The 19,961-nt window shown below is 45.5% G+C and overlaps 1 long non-coding RNA gene across 1 annotated transcript; it reads right to left on the bottom strand.

Moving 5' to 3' along the window:
• Positions 1–14,799: 14,799 nt before the first annotated feature.
• Positions 14,800–17,959, bottom strand: LOC105378562 (uncharacterized). Its single transcript, XR_946479.2, has 3 exons — positions 17,871–17,959; positions 15,862–15,915; positions 14,800–14,986 (listed from the first exon to the last, which is right to left on the bottom strand). It is a non-coding gene; the product is annotated as an uncharacterized LOC105378562 (long non-coding RNA).
• Positions 17,960–19,961: the final 2,002 nt, after the last annotated feature.

The raw sequence follows: 19,961 nt of genomic DNA on the forward strand, positions 1-19,961 counted from the left end.
CAGTTTTGACTTTTTAATTTATTATTTATTTATTTAGAGTCAGGGTCTTGCTCTGTCACCTTGGCTGGAGCACAGTGGTGCAATCATAGCTCACTGCAGCCTCAAACTCCTGGGCTTAAGCGATTCTTCCCTCTTAGCCTCCCAAGAAACTGGGATGACAGGCATGAGCCATTGGGCTCAGCTATTTTTTTTCTTCTTAAATTTTTTTTTGTATTTTTTACATTAAAACTTTTTGTACTATGGTACCCTGGCTGGTCTTGAACTCCTGGCCTCAAATGATCCTCTTGCTTTGGCCTCCCAACGCACTGGGATGAGGAACCAGGGCCAGCCAGTTTTTAAAAGATCTCTCTGTTGGGTTAGAGGGAGAGATCTGATAGAAGAGGACAGCTGTCGTGGGGCAGAATACAGTGGTAGCTTGGAGAAAAACAACAGTGATGATCTGGCAGAGACAGACTTAGGAGGTGAGGAGGCTTGGTTGTGTGTCTCCTCCAAAGCTCATGTTGAAAAGTGATTCCCAGTGTTGGGGGTGGGGCCTGGTGGGATGTGACTGGATCATGGGGGTGGATCCTTCATGAGTGGTTTAGCACCATCCTCTTGGTGATGAGTGAGTTCTCTCTGGGTGATTTCACATGAGACCTGGTTGTAAGAGTCTGGGACCTCCCCCTTATCTCTCTCTTGCTTCCTCTTTCACCATGAGAGGCACTTGCTTCCCTTTCACCTCCCACCATGACTGGAAGCTTCGTGAAGCCTCACTAGAAGTGGATGCTGGAGCCATGCTTCTATAGCCTGCAGAATGGTGAGCCAGGCAAACCTCTTTTATTTATAAATTATCCAGTCTCAGGCATTCCTTTATGGTGACACAAGAAAAGACTAACACAGAAAGTAATCTCTCTAGGGCTTGGTTCATGATTACTTTTGGTGGTTGGATAAAGGAGAGAGAGGAGTTTGTGATGGATTTTAGAGTTCTAGTTTGTCCAACTGATTGTATGGTGGAGATACTTCCTAGAAAAGAAAATGCTGGGACGCACCAGGGTTGGAGGAGAAGATTGTGAGTTAATTTTTTTATATGTTGAGATTAAACAGCTATGTCCAATGGCCGTTTGATGGATACAGGTTTGGAGCACAAAGAAGTCTGAGTGAAGATAGAAATGTACTACGGTGCATTTGATTGATTGCAGGTGGCAATTAAAATCATGGAAAGAGATGGGATTTCCCAGAGAGGCTGTAAATAGAGGGAAGGAGCCTTGAGAATCTTTGATATTTGGTGGCCTGATGGAGGAGGGAGGGTCTGCAAATGGAGAGGGAGCAGCCAAGGTATGTAGGAAGATGGGCTGAGTTACACCATCTCAGGAAGAGTCTCCACATAGAAGGTCAGCAGTGCAGAGTGCTGCTGAGAGTCCAAGTACAAGGGCCACAGAAGAAAACCACTCAGAGATGTCGCCATCCCTGTGATTTTTACAATGACTGTTTCCATTGAGTGATGAGGGCACGCGATTGATGGGGGCCAGTTAGGAATGAATGACAGGTGAACAAATGGAGGCAGGGCAGTAATGATGAATCCACTGGAGTTTAGCTAACACTGATATGAACGTCACCTAGTTCTATTATCACCTCCAGTACAGAAGAATACGGATGGAGAGAAGGTCCTTCAGTTAATCCACCTTGGGCAGGTGCTCATGCCCTCTCCAGAGTCACTTTCTGTACAGCAGTATGTAGTTGGTTGGCCGGCAGACATTACCATGGGAACAGAAACAGGGGCCGAGGGGCCAGCTTCTCAGTAGGGCAGGGGTCTTTGGAGAAATAGCAGAGAAAGATAAAACTGAATTCCCTTAATTAGATGATCTTAATATCCTACGTGGGTGTTCCCTATTCTTGAATATCTGATCAACCTTCTCCTTATTCTCTCTCTACTTCTCAATGTAAATCAATAAAGGCAAATTGAGAATCATAATAAGCAAACTATTAAAGCAAATGGAAAACACTGTGGCATATATTACTGTACTGGTTCTCAAAGCAGCCCCTCCTGCAGACAAGTGGACTCCGAGAGGGAAAGCATGTGTTTTTCAAATTTTATGGAGCTGCCAGGTGGCAGGGTCAGACCTTGGGACCAAGTGCCCTTTCCAACAAAGAAACGACCCCTCCCCAGCCAAATACAAGGACACCCAGGCCAATGAGGCCCCACAGAGTGCCCCTCCCCTCTCTGCTCTGGTACACGACCCCTGAGGGCCATTTGGGAGACACAGGCCCCCAACACCAGCTTCTGTCACCTGGGGGCACCCTGGAGACTCTGCATCCATCCTGCTCTTGCTTGTGCTACAGTGAGCTGTGGTCCCTGTATCCCCCTACCTGAGCTGGCCAGGAGCTCCCAGCCTTCCCCAGTGGAGCATGATCCCCCCATGACCTGGCTTTTGCTCTTATGCCAGCCAAGACCTGCTGCTCAGGCCCATTCTCAGGGACCTGCTCAGTCTACTGAGGCTCCCCGGACACTCAGTGGGGACCCTTGGGGGAACACAGCAAGAGAGAGGTGGTAGGTACAGGTAAGTTTCCATTCCAAACACCTAAGGATTGAGCCACATAAGCCATTTGGGTTCTACCTCTTGGTTCAGCAATTCTTGAACTCCTCCATCATGCACACCCTGAGAGGGGCAGAGAAGGCACTGAGACAGGTCCCTGTTCCCCCAGGAGCAGAGAGAGGACTGAGACAGGGACCTGGGGACCTGGTCCCCCAGGGGCAGAGAGTGAGGCATGGCTCCAGTCCCCAAAGGGCCTACCTCAGAGGTGCTCATGCCTGTAATCCCAGCACTTTGTGCGGCCAAGAAGGGAAGATCACTGGGGGTCAGGAGTTTGAGACCTGCCTTGCCAAGATGGTGAAACCCTGTCTCTACTAAAAATACAAAAAGTAGCCAGGTGTGGTGGTGGGTGCCTGTAGTCCCAGTTACCCAGGAGGCTGAGGCAGGAGAATCGCTTGAACCCAGGAGGTGGAGGTTGCATTGAGCCAAGATGGCGCCATTGCACTCTAGCCTGGGTGAAAAGAGCAAGACTCCATCTAAAAAAAAACAAAAAACAGTAATTCAGGGGCCTGAGTGTTAAGGCAGTGGCTCCCTAGCTAAGGGAATGGGTTGAACAGACTTGAGATGGGTCAGAGCATGGAGTCCAAACACAGGTCAAGGGCTCTCAACATCTTCCAGGATTGCAGACATAGAGTCAGCCCAAGCAGTGGACTCTGTGCATGGGGAATTGCGAGAGATTAGCTTGGCAGAAGCAAGTAGCCTGTGAGAAGAAGCAACAGAACCTGAGTCTGGAAACATGAGTGTGGTCAGGTCAGGACACCTTGGCCATCAGGCTGAGGAGGCTCCATGAGAAGGTGAGCAGCTCAGCTTTCTCAGGAGGGGACAGAGACCTGGGTTCCTACCTGCTTCCACCAGTGGAAACATGACTCTGAATAGGGATTCATGCCTTCAGTGGTCTGCAGCTCCCTTGGTCCCTCTGCAAGATGGCAAGATCACTGTCATGTGGGAGAAAATGGAATGCAAACATGATGTTAACAATGTCTCATTCCAAGAAACTTGGGACCTCTGACCTGGGGGCAGGACGAGTCTTGTCTGCACCCATCATTTCATTTTCATCTCTCTTTTGACTTCAGCCATAAAGGGTGAGAATGAACACCCACCGCCATCTACTCAGGTGACTTGGGAATCGCAGTGCAAGTTTCTTGCAAAGTTATCCCTGGGCTGCAACTTTTCATGCCAGTGTGACCTCAGGGACATTCTTCTCTGTTCATAATCAGGCCTTACTGCCTCTCTTAATATTCTCGACTTAAGGCAGTTTTCACGGAAAGTCTTCATTGTCAATTGACACACGACTAAAGGAATTCCAAAATGAATGTGCTCTCTCTGAAGCAGAACGTCTGTCTATACTTGGCTCGAGACCTCAGGCACAGTCCCTGGAACTTATACAATTTATGAAGGCTGTTATTATTTCACTTGTTCGGAGTTCCAAGGCTTGCAGCTTGATAACACGTCATGTAGTTTGTGCCACTCTGCGTAACAGGCTGTGGCAGCCCGGAACATATTTTGGAAGTTTACTTGGTGTGACAAGAATGAATATAAAATTATTTGCAGTAGATACACCAATAAAAAGGAAAATGTTATTTCCATCATGAAAGATCTCTCCCGTGGCTCTGGCTGTCACTCAGCGATGGAAGAAGATCCAGGGAGGATCCCTGACTCTGCTCTGACATCAGCCTTCCAGGCCAAGCCTCACATTCTCTTCTCTAGAGAGTGGGGCTGCAGCAGAAACACTTTGACACTCACTCCATGAGAAGGAGGTCTTTGGGCCCTTCCCGTGAATCTGGTAGGGATCTGGAATGGCTGTGACTAGTAGAATACAATGAGAGGGACAAGCCTGAGGCTTGAGAAACTTTCTTTTTTTTTTTTTTTTTTTTTTTTACTACTATTATACTTTAAGTTCTAGGGTACATGTGCACAAGGGGCAGGTTAGTTACATATGTATACACGTGCCATGTTGGTGTGCTTCACCCATTAACTCTTCATTTAACATTAGGTATATCTCCTAATGCTATCCCTCCCCCCTCCCCCCACCCCACAACAGGCCCCAGTGTGTGATGTTCCCCTTCCTGTGTCCATGTGTTCTCATTGTTCAATTCCCACCTATGAGTGAGAACACGCGGTGTTTGGTTTTCTGTCCTTGCGATAGTTTGCTGAGAATGATGGTTTCCAGCTTCATCCATGTCCCTAGAAAGGACATGAACTCATCCTTTTTTATGGCTGCATAGTATTCCATGGTGTATATGTGCCACATTTTCTTAATCCATTCTATCATTGATGGGCATTTGGGTTGGTTCCAAGTCTTTGCTATTGTGAATAGTGCCGCAATAAACATACTTGTGCATGTGTCTTTATAGCAGCATGATTTATAATCCTTTGGGTATATACCCAGTAATGGGATGGCTGGGTCAAATGGTATTTCTAGTTCTAGATCCTTGAGGAATGGCCACACTGACTTCCACAATGGTTGAACTAGTTTACAGTCCCACCAACCGTGTAAAAGTGTTCCTATTTCTCCACATCCTCTCCAGCACCTGTTGTTTCCTGACTTTTTAATGATCGCCACTTTCTGTCTCTTGGACACTCCCTCTGGGGGAAACCAGCTGCCTGTGTTAAACGTCTGACCACACTAAGCCCCCATGCTGTGAGGAAGCCCAATTGGCCTTGGGGGTGGCCTTGTGGAGAGACACCAAGCAATTTTATTTTATTTCATTCTTCTTCAACCATCAAGCAGGGCCCTTTGCTTTATGAAGTTTGCTGTAAATTGCCTCTGCCAGTGAATTAGAAAACCTCTAATGTGTGGTGAATTCTGCTGGTCCACGGTAGTGGCAGGAAAACAAATGTTTTCTTTTTTAAAATGCTAATTTGGACCAACTGGGCCCCTTTTTCTTGTAGACATAAACTATCATTACATTTGAACAAGGCTCCTTTCCTGAATTCCAGGTGCTTGGCCTCGCTGGCCCATCTGAGACAGGGCACCTCTTTTCACATTGCTAAGGCACCAATGCTTCGTTTTTCTCCCATTTATCCATTAATTCACCAAATATCTATTTTTCTATCTATCTGTTATCCATCTAGTCTATCTCTCTCTAACCCCTCTCTTTCCTTTCTTTCCTTAGCTCTCTCTTTTTTCTTCTCCTCTCTCTGTCACCTGCCTTCTTTTTCTCTCTCCTTCTATCATCTCTCTCTCAGTCTCGCTCCATATTTGTTTTTTTTTAATTCTCCTTTTAGCCAGCTGGATAATGTGGGGTGTCCTCAGATAACTCCAAGTAACAACTGGATGGAAGAATGGATAAGGATATACATTTCAATGTGCAAACCTTCTGGTTAGTTATCTGTGCATAAAACAGACAAAAACAAACAAAAAGAAACAAAATATGATGGTATGAAGTAACCAACGTTTTACTAGGCTTATGCTTCTGCAGTTCCAGTTCCAGAATTTGGATGAAGCACAGCCTGGATCCTCAGCTGGAGTGGCTTGATGGGCTGGAGCCAGCTGAGTCAGCTCCACTGAGCTCACATATCTTTGGCTCTGATACTTCTCCAAGTGATGTGGCTGAAGTTGGAATGTCCAAGATGTGTCTGTCTCCTGGGCTGGGATGGCTGGAACTACTGGTGCTGGCTGGCATAGCTGCAAGGCCGCTCCTGAAGCTAATTGAGCTTCCTGAGAACATGGCAGCTTAGTGCAGTCAGACTGGGGGGCTTCCCCCAGAACAAACATCCTAGAGATGGCAAGTGAAAGCTGCCATTTCTTAATGCACAGGCTTATCTCTATCATTGTATTCTACTGGTCACAGCAATTCCAGATCCCACCCAGATTCAATTGGAGGGACCAGAAGCAAACAGTTAACACTGGAGTGAGTGTGAAAGAGAATGCAGTCATCTTCAATCTGCCACAGCAACTCCTCCTGGGTGACCTTGAGATTCACTGGCTGGTGTAGAGGCCATGGAAATTGGTCTTGGTGAAGACTGAACAAGAAGGAAAGAGAGAAAATTCTAGATTATCTGGAGGGTTAGAACGTCCAGGGAAAAGTGCCAAGGGAACCAAAGTGAATTACTCCTTACTGATGTCAACACATTATTAAATAGCAGCCCAGACATATATCCTTGAAACTTAATGCATTGTTTTCAGAATTTCATTTCTAGTTTTTAGGAATCAAAGATTTTTTTAAAAAAAATCCTTGGGTCTAATCCTTGGGTGAGGCAGCTGAATGCAGGGGGAGGTGCAGATTGAGCCTGACGTGAAATCCTCAGCTAAATCCTGCTGCTGAGAACTTTCTAGCTTCAGCCAGCTGCGGGGGCTCATGCCTGCAATCCTTTCCCTTTGGAAAGCCAAGGTGGTGGATAGCTTGAGCTTAAGAATTCTAGAGCAGCTTTGGGAACATGGCTACACTCTGTCGCTACAAAAAGCATAAAAAATACAAAAATTAGCCTGGCGTGGTGGTGTGCACCTGTAATCCCAGCTACTTTAGAGGCTGAGGTGGGAGGATCACTTGAGCCCAGGAGGTCAAGACTGCAGTGAGCTGTGACTGTGGTCCTGCACCTCAGCCTGGGTGACAGAGCAAGACCCTGTCTCTGAAAAATAAAAAATAATAAAACATAAAAACCAACCTTATTATTGAACCTGTCTTCATTGTAAGTCTGCTGTGCTGAACATTCAGGAAAATTCCCCTCCACGTTCAGTACCAGTAAGGTGACTGTCTTGGTGGCAACCTTTCCTCTTCATCAGGCCTGAGGGCCATGTGACCTGGTTTGTGTTCCCTTGGCTGTTTGGAAGCTCAGGGTTAATTGCTGCCTCTGGTCGCAGCAGTAGGACCTGGCCTAGGATTTCCCATCAGGCTCAATCTGTGCTTCCCCCTGGTGCCCAGCTGCCCCACTTGAGCATTGGAAGTGGTCTCTCATCTTTTTATTTATGTTGACTGCTTTTTTATTTTACAGCCTCAGTGTTGTGTTTCCAGATTACTTTGGAAGAAGTCTAGGCATCAATAAAAAGACAAATAATTCAAAATTTAAAATTATTAAATAGAAGGAAGGAGCTCACACCATGACCACTTACTAATTCCAGCCACTCCTGTGTCGAGCAGATCTTGCAGTAACTACACTGTCCCTAGTGATGCCTTTGACTGAAATGCGAGGCTCATACAATTCTGGTGATTCCAGCAATTGGCTTCTGCCAAGCCTCCTGGGCCCATGCGGATTATGGAGTCCTGTCTGTATTTCTCCCCTCTCTCCACTGGGAGGCATGCAAAACACATTGGGAATGAGAGTCAATGAACACTGTATGCAGGTGTAAAAGGAAAAGCCACTTTTAAAATCGGTGCACTGGGAACAACCCCTACGAACCTACTCAGACAGAATCCATCACCAATAGACTGTCCAATGCACAAAGAGAGCTCTATGCTGCCACAAAGGGGGCCACATGAGGCAAGATTGAGTGTTCAGTCACATTCAATTTAACTTAATGATTAAATGGAGATTATCATCCAGAGGTTTTCAAACACGTCTTCCCACATTGGCATCTAACTATTCTTAATTATAGATACTGTCACAATCTCATCTTTAACAAGATCAGAAAATGTCTCTCCAGGGAGAAATAACTCTTATTATGAACCAGAGCACCTGGCAATGTGAACTTCTTGATATTAGAAGGAAAACAACCATCAGACTTGTTAAATCTTGAGTGGCAAATGAGCATCTTTCAGCATCTTTCCAGTCAAAGGCTGAGGAGGCAGGTAGGGAAGGAGGCGTCTCTGGGTAGCTGAAGCACAAAGCAGGCGGCCGTACCCAGCATGGAGGGCCAGGCAATGCAGACACATGGGAAAGGTTGAGGGGACCCTACCGTGTTGTCCAGACACCCAGCCAACTCCCTCCACTCACCCACTATTCCTCTTTCCTTGCTCCAAACCCTTGGAATAGTGCACTTCAAAACATAGCATCATAAAAAGCACATATATATAAAACCTCTTCTCAAAGAGGAAGGCCTACATTGAAAGAAATCAAGTGGCCACCTGTACCCTAAATTTTAGCAGGCAATGGGAAATGTTTTTCTAGGATGGCCAGGGGCCTGACCTTCCAGCCCCTCACCTCTGCCCAGTGCAGCGGTGCTGCTCATGTCCCCTGAGCTCTGCACCATGCACACTGGGAGGCACGGCCGAGGCTGTGGTGCAGAAATCCCAGGGGAATCCTGGACTTAAGACAAAGGGCATCTGTCCTTCTCCCGTGAATTGCACCCTCCCAACCACAGACACCGGCTTTGATTTATTAGCATGACCTAGATTGAATACATGAGAAATTCTATTTAATATAGAAGAAATCTTAACCCCTTGTCTTCTTCTCTCTGGATCAAACTGGTCCATCACAAACGCTTCTGAAATCTTAAATGCCTTTCAAATACTTCCCTCCATCTACTTCTGTCCAAAGATGTTCTCTGTTCCCCACCTGTACCATTTCTTCTGAACTGGTTTCTTGTACCCATTCATTCCTCACTTTCCTCCTCTAACTCACTGTCAGTCCTCTGGAATTATTTATTTCATATGTACACAGGCACACACACACACACACACACACACACACACACATATATAAAATTAGAGCAGTGCCATGTTTTATGCATATTTAATTTAAATATATTAAACTACACATCTTCAGCATAACATATTAATATATACTCAGGTGAGAGAGAAAACCATTCAGAACATCCAGTGAGCATGGGAGCCTGACTGACGCTCTCCAGTCAGTCTCAGTGCCCATGTGCCTGTCCCAGAGTAAGCATCCTGTCACCACATCATATGGCTAATGAGGGTGTGGTGTGGTAGACAGCCTCTAAGATGACCCCGATGACTCCTGCCTCCTGGTATTTGTACCCTTTGGAGTCCCCTCCCCTTGATTGTGCACTGGATATAGTGAATCATTTATGACAAATAGAATATGGCAGAAGCAGTGGGTCTTCACTTCTCAGAATATCTTATGAAGACATTGACCTCACTCATTTACCCTGGGGGAAGCCAGCTGCCATGTGGTGAACTGCCCTTTGGAGGGAACCATATGAGAAGGGACCAAGGAAGGCACGTTTCCAAAAGACAGACAGACACTGAGGCCGCAGGTAAAACTCCTGTGGGGAACTGAATTCTGTGAGGCCCCAGTTGAAACTCCTGTGGGGAACTGAATTCTGTGAGGCCCCAGTTGAAACTCCTGTGGGGAACTGAATTCTGTGAGGCCCCAGTTGAAACTCCTGTGGGGAACTGAATTCTGCCTATGACCGTGGGAATGAGCATCAAAGCAGATCCTCCCTGCATGGAGTCTTCAGATGAGACCACCGCCCCAGCAGACACCCTGATGCAACCCCAGGAGGAAACGAGCCACAGCCACCCTGCTAAACCACACCCAAATTCCTGACTCCCCTCAGAAGACACCTGCAAGATAATTCATACTCATTGTTTTAAACTACTAAGTCTTAGGGATAATTTATTACACAGGGATATGTAGCTAATACACAAAAAACTGGGATTTTAGAGATTTTCAAGAGTAATTGTAATGGTACACATTTTTTGCCTAATCTCACATGCGTCTTGGGGTCAAACCCTCCCTGTGGCTCACCTTGGCCAGGGTCATGGTCCCTGCTGTCCATGGCCCTTCCCTATGTCTCCAGCCCAGACTTACAGTCTCACCCTTATGGATCCCCACAGGCACCCAGGGTTCTTGCCACACTTGTGGATTCAAGGCAACTCAAATGCCTGATGCTCCTGCCCTCCTGCCCAGGTGCCTGTGCTGAGGCCATTTCCTCTCTCTGGAGTGCCATTTGTGCTCTTTGCCCTCCAAGGAGTTCATATCCATCAGTCTGGACCCCGCTTAGGTGAACTCATCTGAGCAGTCCTTGCATTTGGGGTGGCATTACCAAGGCAGCCTGCTCTCATGGCTGGCCGGTCACTCACGGCTTGGGGACGTACCTGTGTCCTGCACCAACCACAGCAGTCACATTCCTATGGGAAGCGAGACCACCTGGCTCACTAATTTAGTGTTAGCGGACATAAAGCGGGATGTTTTGAGGCAACCAAGAAGATCCTTTTGCTAGGTCTCAGAAACCCTTATAGGTTTTCTCTGGTTTTATAGTTATGTGATATGTTAGTGTAGTCAACACCTGGTTTGCTTTCATATGCATCTTATCTTTATCCGTTTACCCTTGCTGCATTGAAAACTACCCCCAAATCTTACGTATTAAAACCACACTTTGTAATTATAACCCATACGTCTGCAGGTTGGCTGGGAACCAGCAGATCTAAGATAAACTTAAATGATCTTGGCTGGATTTGCACATCATCTGTGAATGGGCTGCCCCGTTCATTCATCCAAGGGTCAGCTGTGGCCTCTGCTCTAGGTTAGGCTTGGCTGGAGAAGCTTGGCTCCATATGTCTCTCATTATCCCCCTAGGGTTTGGAGGGCCAGCCCTGACATGTGCTGCTTCTGATGATGGCAGAAACGCAAAAGTGGAAACATTCAAGGCTGCTTGAGGCCTTGGTCCAGACTCGCACGTGGTCACTCTGCCTCACTCTTGGGGCCAATGCAAGTCACATATCCGGGCCCAGATTTGTGTGGAAATAGAAACTGCCCATTTAGTAAGAGTGATTTCAAGGTCATGAGACAAAAGGCATGTGGGAGCAGGGGGAGGAGAGTGGCTGAGAACATGAGTGCAGCCCCTCACACCGGCTTTGCTCTCCTCACTCTGCACAGCAGAAAACGCCACGTGCAGGCGCCCTGCCTTCTTATTTCTGGGCTGGCTTGGGTGATGGAAGCACTGCAGGAAGGTGAGAGGGCAGCAAAGCGGAGAGTGCAGGCATTTCCTTGCCACTTGGCTCTGTGAGACACTTTTGGAAATGGTGGTGTCTCCTTCATGGCTCCAGCTCTGCTGGACAATCTCTCTTGCCAGGATCCCAGTTCCTGCTGGGTGACTCCTCCGGCGGTTCCCACCTGAAGGCCCTGTCTTGTGGTATCCTCTGACACAGGCCCTCCCAAGCTTGGTGAGTGGCTTTCTGTCATGCTATTATTCTCTGTTTTGCCCCAGCCTCCTCTTTCAATGAGTCCATTGCTCATGCAACAATTTCCTATATTAAATGCTCTCTGTTAGAAGACGCAGAATTTTCCTAGTTGGATCGCAAGAAATTCAGAGTTCTACAGATTTCCTACCCTATCCCTCATCTCTGTGGGACAGAATCTGTCTTGAGTCAGATGTGCAGGCTGAGGGAGAAGAGGAGGATATTTATTGCAGATAGCACTTAATAAAAACAAATCACTTTTTCCGGGAGCATGTTTTTTTGAGGAAACACACTAGGTATGGATGAAGTAATGGACATTTTGGCTAAGTACCTGACAATACTAATAATGTAGGGATGGCTCACTGTGCCTGATTTTGCACGATGCTCAAGCCCAGGGTTGTGCCCTACACTTCCACCTTCCAGGATGACAGGGAAAAAGGAAACACTTCCCTGCTTTTTGCTGGAGAGTGGGAGAGGAGCCATTCAACTTGTGACTGTGGGGGAGCTTGAAAAGTGTGAAACGGGGTGCCCGCTTCTGAAATCTAGCTGTATCAAATGGTGCTCTTCTCTGCTTTAAAAAATTTTCACCTTTTAGGAAAACTAAAGCAAAACAAAACTTGTACATTACAAGAGAGTTTTGGCTGGGCATGGTGGTTCATGCCTATAATCCCAGCATTTTGGGAGGCCAAGGAGGGAGGATCACTTGAGGCCAGGAGTTTGAGACCAGCCTGGGCAACATAGTGAACTCCCATCTCTACTAAAAATACACACACACACACACAAAATTAGCTGGGCTGTGGTGGTGGATGCCTGTAATTCCAGCTACTCAGGAGGCTGAGGCATCAGAATCACTTGAACCAGGGAGGCAGAGGTTGCAGTGAGCTGAGATCATGCCACTGCACTCCAGCCTGGGTGACATAGTGAGACTCTGTCTCAAACAAAAAAGAGTTTCTTTGCTGTGAGATACCCACAGAGAATGAAGACATGACGGGGTAGACCTTTCTGCCTTGGCTTGTGGAGATTCCTAGCACTACTAAAATTTAATTTAAAATAGTAAACTCACTGCCTTTCTGTGACATATATATGGGTGTTACATAATTACAGAACAAATGGCTTTTCTAGGGAGGTTGTGAAAGCCAGTGATGTAGCACACACACTGTTGAAGATGCACAATGCTTTCCACTCCTCATTAAAACCCGGCAATCTACACAAATCATTCTGCAGTGGAGACTGCCACCCCTTCCCTCTAATGCTGATTATCAGCACAGCCAGGAAAGGCTCCAGCTTCATCTGTTTGACAGATAAGAGATTCTGTTGGACAGGTTTCCACTGTGATAGACAGAAGCAATATCTTGAGCTACAGGAGGGCACAGCCATTTAAGTCTTTATATAGGCGATGCTTGGGAAGCAAAACGCTTTATGCCTCAAAAGATACATGGTGAATATTTACCCATCACCTGTAGCCTATATAGCAACTTTCATTAAGAGTCAAGCAAGGTTTTAAGTACTTTCAAGACATTTTCCCTGTTCTTTTGTTTTTCTGACTCTATTATTCATCCATCCCATCCTTTGTCAGAAAAATCTCTCTCTCACTATCATTACCACTGTAACGTACTTTCATTCTGTGTGCAAATCTTTTGCTTGTGATGATCAGAGTATTTTAGTAAAAATAGTCTTTGGATCTTTGCAGGGAAAGGATAATATTCCAAACATGTTCCTGAAGGTGAATGCCTCATCTCTGATCAGCTCTGTCACGTGCCCCTGAGAATCCCAGCGGCCCCAAACTTCTCATGTCCAAAGTTGAACCCATCAGCACTTCCAGGCCTTTTGATAACCCTTGTTTTCTGATCAATGATAGAAATAGCAACTACAAATACATGGTCAACCAAGTCTCATCTACAGCAACACAGGGCGCATATGTTGTGCATTTGTTTGTGATTGTAACACCTCGCTCTAGTTCTCCCATGACTGTGCAGCTGCCCTTGTCACTCACTATGATTTTACCTAGAGTTATACTTTGTCTATACTAATATTACTGCATTGATTTTCATGAGTTTATATTTTTAAAAAATATTTTCTATATTGCTATAACCATTTTTTTCTTTTTTGCTAAATTTGTTTCTTACAGCTATTTTCTAAATTCAATCTGATGTCTGACTTATGACAAAGAAATTCAAGCCTTCTACATTGAATATGGATATGGTTTTGCCTTATTTCTCCCATCCTCGTTCACGTGTTCTATTTCCCATATTTTTCCCATCTTTTGTTACATTTCATTGGGTAGACTAAACTTTTTTGTCCTAGTTTAGAATTTATGCATTTTATTTTTATATATTAAGTGATTATCTGCAAATTATGAACAACATTTTTGTAACTTCTTGTACATTTCTTTTTTCTTTTCCCTTTTCTTTTCTTTTTTCTGAGACAGAGTCTTGCTCTGTCATGCAGGCTGGAGTGCAGTGGTGTGATCTCGGCTCACTGCAACCTCCGCCTCCCGGGTTCAAGCGATTCTCCTGCCTCAGCCTCCTGAGTAGCTGAGATTACAGGCATGCACCACCATGCCTGGCTAATTTTTGTGTGTGTGGTTTTTTTTTTTTTTTTAGTAGAGACAGGGTTTCTGACCATGTTGGTCAGGCTGGTCTTGAACTCCTGACTTCATGATCTGCCTGCCTCGGCCTCCCAAAGTGCTGGGATTACAGGTGTGAGCCACTGTGCCCGGGCTGTACATTTCTTGAGATGAACAATTTCCATATTCCTCCTGGGAACCTGAGTACGGCAGCACACACTCATGGCTTCTTCCTTCCTGTCCTGCTGTGGTTTCAGTGTCTGTGTCCCCTCCAAAATTTGTGTTGAGACTTAATCCTCAATACAATGGTATTAAGAGGTGGGCTTTTGGGAGGTGATTAGGCCATAAGAGCTCTTCCCTCATGGAGAGGATGAGCGCTTTATAAAAAGGCTTGGGGAGCAAGTTCACCTCTTCATTCCTTTACCCTTTCATTCCTTCCACCCTGTGAGGACACACATTCAAGCCACCATCTTGAAAACAGAGACCAGATTCTCACCAGACACTGACCCTGCTGGTGCCTTGATTTTTGACTTTCTATCCTCCAGAACTGCAAGAAAATACATTTCTGTTTCTTAGAAATGATCCAGTCTCAGGTATTTTTTTTAAAGAAGCAGAAACAGACTAAGACACATGCTCGCCTACGTATCTCTAGTTATACTTTCCATAACATTCATGAGAGGATGCCTCTGTAATAAACTTGGATAATGTCATACTGCAGAAGAAAGGTTTTCCACACACTCTGTGCTGCAGGCTGCATTATGAGCTCCTCAGAAGCAGGTGCATGTTGTCATGTATCTCAGTAGCATCATTGTCTTACATCAGGTCTGCAAAAGAACAGGTATTTTCAGTGGGGTGCTGGAGCAGGTTTGCGCCAGCTCATGAGAATCAATTCTATGCATCTTCCCCCAACTCTGTATCCAGTGATGTTCTGTTTGTAGGTAAAATGGCCATGCTAAGAATATTTACACCAAAAAATTGACAAACACCACAAATACATCATTTTTTTTCCCTAGAAACCATTCTCCCAATACATCACTAGCATGCTTCTTACATATTTGCTAAGTGAATGAAGACACAAAGCTTTTATCTAAAGATGTGGAAACCAGCTTTTTTTTTTGTACAGTGCTATTTAAAGGATTTTCTTCTGTGCAGGTAGGAGGGGTAGACTATCTGGATGTGCAGGTGGAGAATGACAGATGCAGAGGCCTGCAGCCAGCATAAGGCATCACAGGCCTGCAGAACTATGGAGGGCAGGACCCCTGCCATCTCATCTGACACCTAGCTCAGGTCAGAAGGGGAAAGGGACTGCAAGATGTGCTCATAGGTATTGTTCCAAAGCAGATCCACGGGCACCTGAGGGAAATCCTCCAAATTAAGCAATTACTGGTTTCCCCTGTGGGTCTTGAATAGCGCTAGTGAGTACAAGATTCTTGCTTTTCATGCTTTTGTATTAACTGGTAATTATTTGTATCTGTTCTGTTTTTTCAAACATGCGTTAGATTGAGTGGGTGGGTCTAAATTGAAATATTAACTACTGCACACATCAGTATCTTCAAGAAATTCTACCTCTCATGCTTTAAGGAAGTGTTGATTAAAGATCTAAAGTCACATCAAGAGAAAAATAAAGGTGATTCTGGGGGCCTATAAATACTAACGGACTTCTCCTCTCGTTATGCAATTGAATTCTGTCATGACTTACATGGTAAGATCAGGTGTATTCTTTGAGAACTGCCACCCAATCTGTGGGAAGTTGCTATGGAAAGAGAGAGTTAATTAGTTTCCACAAATACTTAAATCTCACCTGGGATTATTTTGGTCACAGAAAGATTTCAGGTCAATGTGTTGAAAGTAAAATTATGCTTTGTTGATACCTCACATTTCAGACAGCGATTTATTTTTCAGGGTCTAATGACTCCCGATAAAGTCTTTTTCTTTTTGCTTGTGAAATCTAAAGATTTTCTGGAAATCGTTAAAGGGGCAGAAATAAAAACACAGTCCAGTAAGAGACTTCACACAGCCATCTTGGTAAAAAGAAGTTAAAGACGATCAGGCGCAGTGGCTCACGCCTGTAATCCCAGCACTTTAGGAGGCTGAGGTGGGTGGATCACAAGGTCAGGAGTTCCAGACCAGCCTGACTAACATGGTGAAACCCCGTCTCTACTAAAAAAAAAAAAAGTACAAAAATTAGCAGGGTGTGGTGGCGCATGCCTGTAATCCCAGCTACTCAGGAGGCTGAGGCAGGAGAATCGCTTGAACCCGGGAGGCAGAGGTTGCAGCGAGCTGAGATTGCACCACTGCACTCCAACCTGGGCAACAGAGCAAGACTCTGTCTCAAAAAAAAAAAAAAAGTTAAAGATATAAGAAGTGAAATTAACAGCCTCCTATACATTACTAAAATTCTACAAATCTTAAAGAACATAAAATTCCAACAATGGGAGCCAAATGCAGAAAAAGCGTTCCTTAAAACAGCCTTAAAAACTCCTGAGATGAGGGATTTAATGAGTCTGAAATCCCAGACTTAATTCTCACAGTCCTATAGATCAAGCCCAAAATAATCAATATATTTTATTGAATCTTAGTTGGTTCTTGGTCTTGGAATGGATTAACTGATGAACTGATCAGCTGTCTAGCTGTTTTCCCTAATTGTTTTATCAAGAAATTGATATGTTTTCTGGCTGCTATCACTATGTTCTTGCTGTAAGTGTGATGAACTTTGACATTAGATTCCAGGAAAAATTTCAGGCGGAAGTCCCTCACTTTTTCTAAATGCAAAGCAATGATCTCTGGTACTGAGTGCATCTTTCTTGGGAATGGCCAAACCTTAGCCTTGCTGGACATGGTATGATGAATGAGACAGCCTAGACACTTCTGTAGGGGCCTGGCTGAGTCGTGCTCCCATGGCAAAGCAAACTTCCAGCTGCTTTTTTGTTTCTTGGGATGTGGGGCATGCTCCCTGAGAACTCACTCTGGAAGGACTGAGGCTTTGACAGCCAGCCCCTTGGTCTTCTGGTGTCCACTAGAGCCTCTTACCTGACCTATGCTTAGATGAAGCCTTATGAATTGGCTGCGTTCCAAAAAGAACGGTGTCCTAATCTCCCAGCAACCAAGGCCCTGTCAGGCTTGTGGTACAAGATTCCAGTAGCTACCTGTACCTCCTGTTCATCCAAGCCTCAGGCAGCTGAGACAGCACAGGGATTCAGTAAAAATGGATTCTTTGATCCAGCAATAAGTCAAAATTGAAATTGGAGGGCAGAAGTTTACAGATGCAAGCATGTATGCAGGTAGTTAGTTAATGAAGTTTCCTTCGTGCTCTCTGTGTACATGCACCACCTTAAGCACTTTGCAAATATCAACTACTTCACCCCTCATAAGGAAGCCATCTTATTATGTAGACCCTATCATCTCATCTTACAGATGAGGAAACTGGAGCCACAGGTCTTTGCTCTGTGTTACCAGACCGGTGTGCTCCTAAAACAAGTAATACATCGAGGAGCTGCCTCTGGGGAGGCCCGTGGGTCTAGGCATGGGAAGAGAAGGGGAATTTCCACTGTATGCCTGTGTCTTGGTTTGGGTTCTCTAGAAAGAGAACCTGAAACCAGGATTCAGTGGAAGTGGGAGGCTACTCGGTGTTCCAAAATAAAGAGGAGCTGGGAGCTGAGACTGGGGAGGGAGAATGAAATGGGGGTGCAGTATCTGGCGAAGTCTCACCGAGGGAAACTTTGGTCCAGTCCTGCAGTGTGCGATGGAGGCCCTGTAGTTCCCGCAGAACACATCAAGGCTGGGAGCTGAGGCATTCATTCCCCCTCTTTCCGGGTGCTGTTCTGGGATGCCCCGGAAGTACAATGAAAGCACTTCCAGTTCCAGCAGCCCGCTGGCTGAGCTACCACATGGGCCTCCATTGTGAAGAAAGTGGTAGGAAATGTGGAAGCGGCCAAGGCATTTGGGGCAGGGGATGGTACCCACTGCTGATGATTTGTGCACTTGGAATGGATTCTTATTTTTTTTCTGAATGAAGGACTTATTGGCACTTACCACTCCAAGTGCATTACTGAGAACAGGTCTAAGAGGGCAAGGAGAGGGTACTTGAGGGCAGACGCTGGAGATGAAGAAATGGACAAGAGGGGGCCGGGGGTCCTGAGGACACTGTCACCCTGCTCACCACATGAGGAGGTCTCACTACCCATCCAAGAGTGAGACCCAACCTGAGGAAGAGGATTCTGGTATGGCTCCTTCCTCAGCTCCCCTCTGGCAGGACACTGACTCCCATGTCCAGACACTGCTCTGTAGGAGTAGGAGGAGGATATGGAGAAGGAGGAGCAGGCAGAGGAACTGGAGGGAGACCCGATGTCTGGGGAAGGAGAAATGGACAAAGAGAATACATGTGACTGAGGTCTAGCATGACCTTGGGAATCTGGCCATCTCAGGCAACCACATGCCTGCCCCACAGAGGTGTCCTCCCTCTGCCTGAGGAACACAGTCTTGTGACTGTAGAATGAAGAGCAGAAGGTGGGCCAGATGATGGTGGTGTTCAATGGGATATACAGGCCGAGGTCATCCTCAGGGACATGTAGCCCCAGAAGTCCCTGCCTTCTTCCTTCACCCAACAGTATCAAAGCCTTGGGGAATTCCTTCTGGAATCCTGTACTCCAGAAGCTCAGGGAAGAGTACTGGAGAGGGAGTCACCAGGACCTGGGCAGCCATGATGGGAAAGGAGAGCTAAAGCTCATCAGATGAGAGACACCCTGGTCTAAGGAGTTCACTGAAGGAAGGGAGCTGGAGCTAAGAGTTTGTAGAGTGGTTTTCTACTAAGTATCCTCAAGGAGTTCATTCCCTGTGGTCACCTCATCACTGACAAGTGTCAGAGCCTTCAGACTTATCCTCCCTTGCATATTCTCACCCCCTAGTTCTCCAAGTGGCTGGTGAGGAGGGGAGGGGAGCCCTAAATCTTCTCAGCATCTGACATGCCTCCTCCAAAGATTTTTCCCCAGTTCATCTTCCCATTCTCTTATTTGTTTTCTCAAGACAACAACAAGAATGAAAGAATGAAAAGCATTTTTTTTAAAGAAAGAGAGCAAGAAGAGGGCACTCATAAACAGGATGAAAGAGGCACAGAAAGGGGGAATGCTTCTTTTGAAAGCAGATTGGCAAGTACCATTACAGAGCTAAGACTTTTTAAAATGGACCAGATCAAACATACTTGTTTTCTAAAGAATCAGAGAATTCAATGAGATAAAGGCTGCTGTCTGCTCTACAGAGGACCTCCCACTGCCCTGTGCCTTTTGGCTGCACACTAGGGGCTCAGTTTACCAACAGAAGCTCTGGCTTAAAATCTGCCAAACAAATCAAGGATCATTTTCCTATGTAAAAATAATGACTGAAATGAATTATTCAGGAACTGGGCCAGAGCATTTGCATGCATCCACCATGTACACAGATGTATAATACAGTATGTTTCTCTCAAGATGTTTTCTAATATTTATGCAAACAGTTTATAAAATTAAATCACATTAGTGTTGGATTAGTACTTGACATTTATCAGACTATGGACTCTTGTTGCTAGAGGGGATACCCTAAGTTTCAATAACACTTAATGGCTTTTTCTTCTGATGATGACTGCTCAGCGCAATTATCCCGACTTTTCTTTACAGAGATGACTTTGTTCCTACGGAAGTATATTTTCTTGCTTGTAACTCAAACTTTCCTTTTCTGGTGGAAATGGAGCTTTCTTTTAATTTCATATTTAAAAACAACCATGTCAGATAAAACTTCCTGGAAGACATCAATAGACGTAATCATGGC

Source organism: Homo sapiens, chromosome 10, assembly GCF_000001405.40.
Source record: "Homo sapiens chromosome 10, GRCh38.p14 Primary Assembly".
NCBI classification, from domain to species: Eukaryota; Metazoa; Chordata; class Mammalia; order Primates; family Hominidae; genus Homo; species Homo sapiens.